The 4255-nt window shown below is 38.3% G+C and overlaps 1 annotated feature.

Annotated features, from left to right (window-relative positions):
* Positions 3412–4016: an enhancer, noted in NCBI's record as "H3K27ac-H3K4me1 hESC enhancer chr3:26431392-26431996 (GRCh37/hg19 assembly coordinates)". NCBI's record gives its function as "activates a minimal SCP1, AML or CMV promoter by ChIP-STARR-seq in primed H9 embryonic stem cells {active_cell/tissue: H9 hESC(primed)}" and the evidence as "EXISTENCE:reporter gene assay evidence [ECO:0000049][PMID:30033119]".

Below are 4255 nucleotides of genomic sequence, written 5' to 3'. Positions count from 1 at the left end.
CATTTCTCTAGGGAAAAAGAAAAAATTAATTAACATTAAACAAGTTATACCAGGCTTTATGTGTCACCTTCCAGAAATTAATTATACATAATACAAAAAGACAAGAGCACATGTAGTTTTTTTTTCTTTTGTTTTTTATTTTACTTTAAGTTCTGGGATACATGTGCAGAATGTGCAGCTTTGTTACATAGGTATACATGTGCCATGGCGGTTTGCTGCACCTATCAACCTGTTATCTAAGTTTTAGGTCCCACATGCATTTGGTATTTGTCCTAATGCTTTCCCTCTCCTTGCCCCACATCCCTCAACAGGCTCTAGCGTGTGATGTTCCCTTCCCTGTGTCCATGGGTTCTCATCGTTCAGCTCCCACTTATGAGTGAGAACACACAGTGTTTGTTTTTCTGTTCCTGTGTTAGTTTGCTGAGAATGATGGCCTCCAGCTTCATTCATGCCCCTGCAAAGGACAGGAACTCATCCTTTTTTATGGCTGCATAGTATTCCATGATGTAAATGAGCACATGTAGTTTTTATTAAAGTTTGGCTAATAAAACAAAGTCTTTAACAGACATGTGTCATACTAGCTGTAAAAAGTTTCTCAGAAATAATTTAAAGGGAACTGGCCTTTGGTGTTTCCAATTAAGCAGCACATAAGTGAGCAAGACCTGTCATTTCTGCCATGAGAGAGGTAACAAATGTTAGGACGTCCTCCTCACATCTAAGTCAGCACCATTCATTGTTCTCTCCCAAACTCCCAATTTGCCTGCAATGTGTGCACAAATCCTAGTGACATAGTATGTCTTGGGTAGAAAAAAGAAGTGACAATAAAGATGATTTAACTAGCCTCTATCTCTGAGTTTCTTTATATTTCCATCTCTTTGCATTTAAAAAATATCAAAATAAAGCCTAGTTCAAAGAAGAGAGTTGTCACTACTTCTCTCAAGTTTCTAAGAGAATGGTGTAATATTATGTAACAAGAAATAGCATAATCTCAGTGAGAGAAACTTCCTGTACTTAGAACAACTGAATTGTAGAAGTTTATGGCTTAATAAATGTGGGCGGAATTGAATTTTTTAGTTAAAAAAGAACATGGAACTTGTGCTTCTGGCTATGGTGAAGTAGACTGCAACAGCACAAAGTTTACTGAAAGCAATAAAAGAAGTTAAGCAAAATTCAAAATCAGGGAAGAAAACATGTTTGAAGGCATTAAGAGAGGTTGTGATTCAATCAGAACTTGAGGGGTTAATATTCCAAAGGAAAGAAAACTTCAGAGAGATGAGCCACCGTATTATGAGATGCTTTTTTCCTTCAAGGATTTGCTAATTCTAGGCAAAGACTGAATTATGGACAGCAAAAATGGATGAAAAATTGGCAAGAAGAATAGGAGCTATATGGCAAACAATGGGAAGATCCTGCATATATATAACCGGAGACATGTGGGAATAGGAGAGAGATAATGGGACAGGTACAAATTTGTAGAGACAATGTCCAAATATTTTCTAATACTGGTGAAAGACATTATGCTACAAATTTTTAAAACATTTCAAACTCCAAAAAGGTTAGATACAAAGAAGACTAACAAGATCATAGTAACACCACCCAAAAACAAAGGAAACAAATTTCTTAAAGCAGCCATAGATAAAAGATACATTAGCTTCAAGAGGGCAAGGAGACTATAGCTGACTTTTCAACAGAAATAATGGCAACTAAAAGATAGTGAAACAGCATTTTTAAATGTTAGTGGAAAATTATTGCCAATCCTGAATTCTGTAAGAAGTGAAATTGTCCTTTAAAGAAGAAATACATAAATGTCCAGATAAGCAAAACTAAGATAATGTGTTGTTAAAGATGTCCACTACATCTAAATAAAATGATCTAAAGTGGAAGCATAATAATGCAAGAAAGAATAAAAAGCAATTATAAAAGAAGATATGTAAGTAAATTAAAAGATTGTACAAAAAATAGTCAATTATAATTGCTTTTGTCTTCCTTCAGCTCAGTAATGAAACCTTGCAGAATGTTGGGGTAAATGGGTCCGTGGGTTAAAATGTATGTATCATTAGTTATCAATAAAAGAAGTACCTAATCTTATAATGAGCATCTGTAAAAATTCCACAGTGAACATTATGCTTAATAGTAAAACACTGAGTGTTTGCCCTGAAATTATAAAAGATAAATGTCTGTTATTATTACTTTTATTCAAAGGAAGGTCCAAGCCAGTATAATAATAATTTCTTTTCCCAGGAAAAGAAACTAACAACCAGAAAGGACAGACTGAAATGAATAGTTGCACAGAAAATCTAAAAAGAGTCTACAACTGTTTGAATTAACTAGTCAATTTAGCAATGGGGCCAGACAGAATATCAATATGCAAAATTATTTGTATTTATATTCTGGCAAAATAAATAGAAATAAAAATATTAAAAACTATACAATTTGAAATAACCCAAAACCATTAAATACGTAGGAATAAACCTAACAAATGATGTGGAAGAGCTCTACATCAAGAATTACAAGACAATATGGGGAAAAATGTAAGAAATCTGAAATAAATAGAAAAATATACCTGCTACATAGATTGAAAGACTAGGATTTTAAAGACATCAAGTCTCTCCAGATTGATTTCATAAACCTGGGACAATTACAATCAAAATCTTGGTAGGAATTTGTTTTTCTCTTTGTTTTTGTTTTAGTTTTTGGAAATTGATTCTAAATTTATATATAAAAATACAAATGACAAAAAATAACCAAGACAATCTTAAAGAAGGAAAATTAGAAAGCTAGAGGGCCCGTACAATTAGTTATTAAGGTTTATTTTAAAGTAATTGAGAAAGTGTCATATAAGATACAAGAATCACAAGTAGAAAAATGGGACAGTTGTTGAGTCAACTGAAATTCAGTCCAAAAAAGTAAAATTTGAATCAAACTTCATACTCTATGCAAAAATCAATTCCAGAAAAATTGGATACCTAAATGTTAAAAGTCAAAAGACAAAGCTCCCACAGGGAAAAAAATAAACATTTTGATGCTAATGTTATGATGATGGGGGAAGCAATGATTTCTTCAACTGATACAAAAATCCACAACCACACTGAAATAATTACAAATAAAATATTAAAACAAATAAATTATCTTCATTAAAAGACATCAGTGGGGGAGGAGCCAAGATGGCCGAATAGGAACAGCTCCAGTCTACAGCTCCCAGCGTGAGCGACGCAGAAGACGGGTGATTTCTGCATTTCCATCTGAGGTACCGGGTTCATCTCACTAGGGAGTGCCAGACAGTGGGCGCAGGCCAGTGTGTGCGCGCACTGTGCGCGAGCCGAAGCAGGGCGAGGCATTGCCTCACCTGGGAAGCGCAAGGGGTCAGGGAGTTCCCTTTCCGAGTCAAAGAAAGGGGTGACGAACGCACCTGGAAAATCGGGTCACTCCCACCCGAATATTGCGCTTTTCAGACCGGCTTAAAAAACGGCGCACCACGAGACTATATCCCACACCTGGCTGAGAGGGTCCTACGCCCACGGAATCTCGCTGATTGCTAGCACAGCAGTCTGAGATCAAACTGCAAGGCGGCAACGAGGCTGGGGGAGGGGCGCCCGCCATTGCCCAGGCTTGCTTAGGTAAACAAAGCAGCCGGGAAGCTCGAACTGGGTGGAGCCCACCACAGCTCAAGGAGGCCTGCCTGCCTCTGTAGGCTCCACCTCTAGGGGCAGGGCACAGAAAAACAAAAAGACAGCAGTAACCTCTGCAGACTTAAGTGTCCCTGTCTGACAGCTTTGAAGAGAGCAGTGGTTCTCCCAGCACGCAGCTGGAGATCTGAGAACAGGCAGACTGCCTCCTCAAGTGGGTCCCTGACCCCTGACCCCCGAGCAGCCTAAATGGGAGGCACCCCCCAGCAGGGGCACACTGACACCTCACACGGCAGGGTATTCCAACAGACCTGCAGCTGAGGGTCCTGTCTGTTAGAAGGAAAACTAACAACCAGAAAGGACATCTACATCGAAAACCCATCTGTACATCACCATCATCAAAGACCAAAAGTAGATAAAACCACAAAGATGGGGAAAAAACAGAATAGAAAAACTGGAAACTCTAAAACGCAGAGCGCCTCTCCTCCTCCAAAGGAACGCAGTTCCTCACCAGCAACGGAACAAAGCTGGATGGAGAATGATTTTGACGAGCTGAGAGAAGAAGGCTTCAGAGAATCAAATTACTCTGAGCTATGGGAGGACATTCAAACCAAAGGCAAAGAAGTTGA

The sequence above is a fragment of the Homo sapiens genome, chromosome 3 (assembly GCF_000001405.40).
Source record: "Homo sapiens chromosome 3, GRCh38.p14 Primary Assembly".
Classification (NCBI taxonomy): Eukaryota; Metazoa; Chordata; class Mammalia; order Primates; family Hominidae; genus Homo; species Homo sapiens.
The sequence above is the reverse complement of the archived record's forward strand: the minus strand, read 5'-3'. Positions and strand labels throughout refer to the sequence as shown.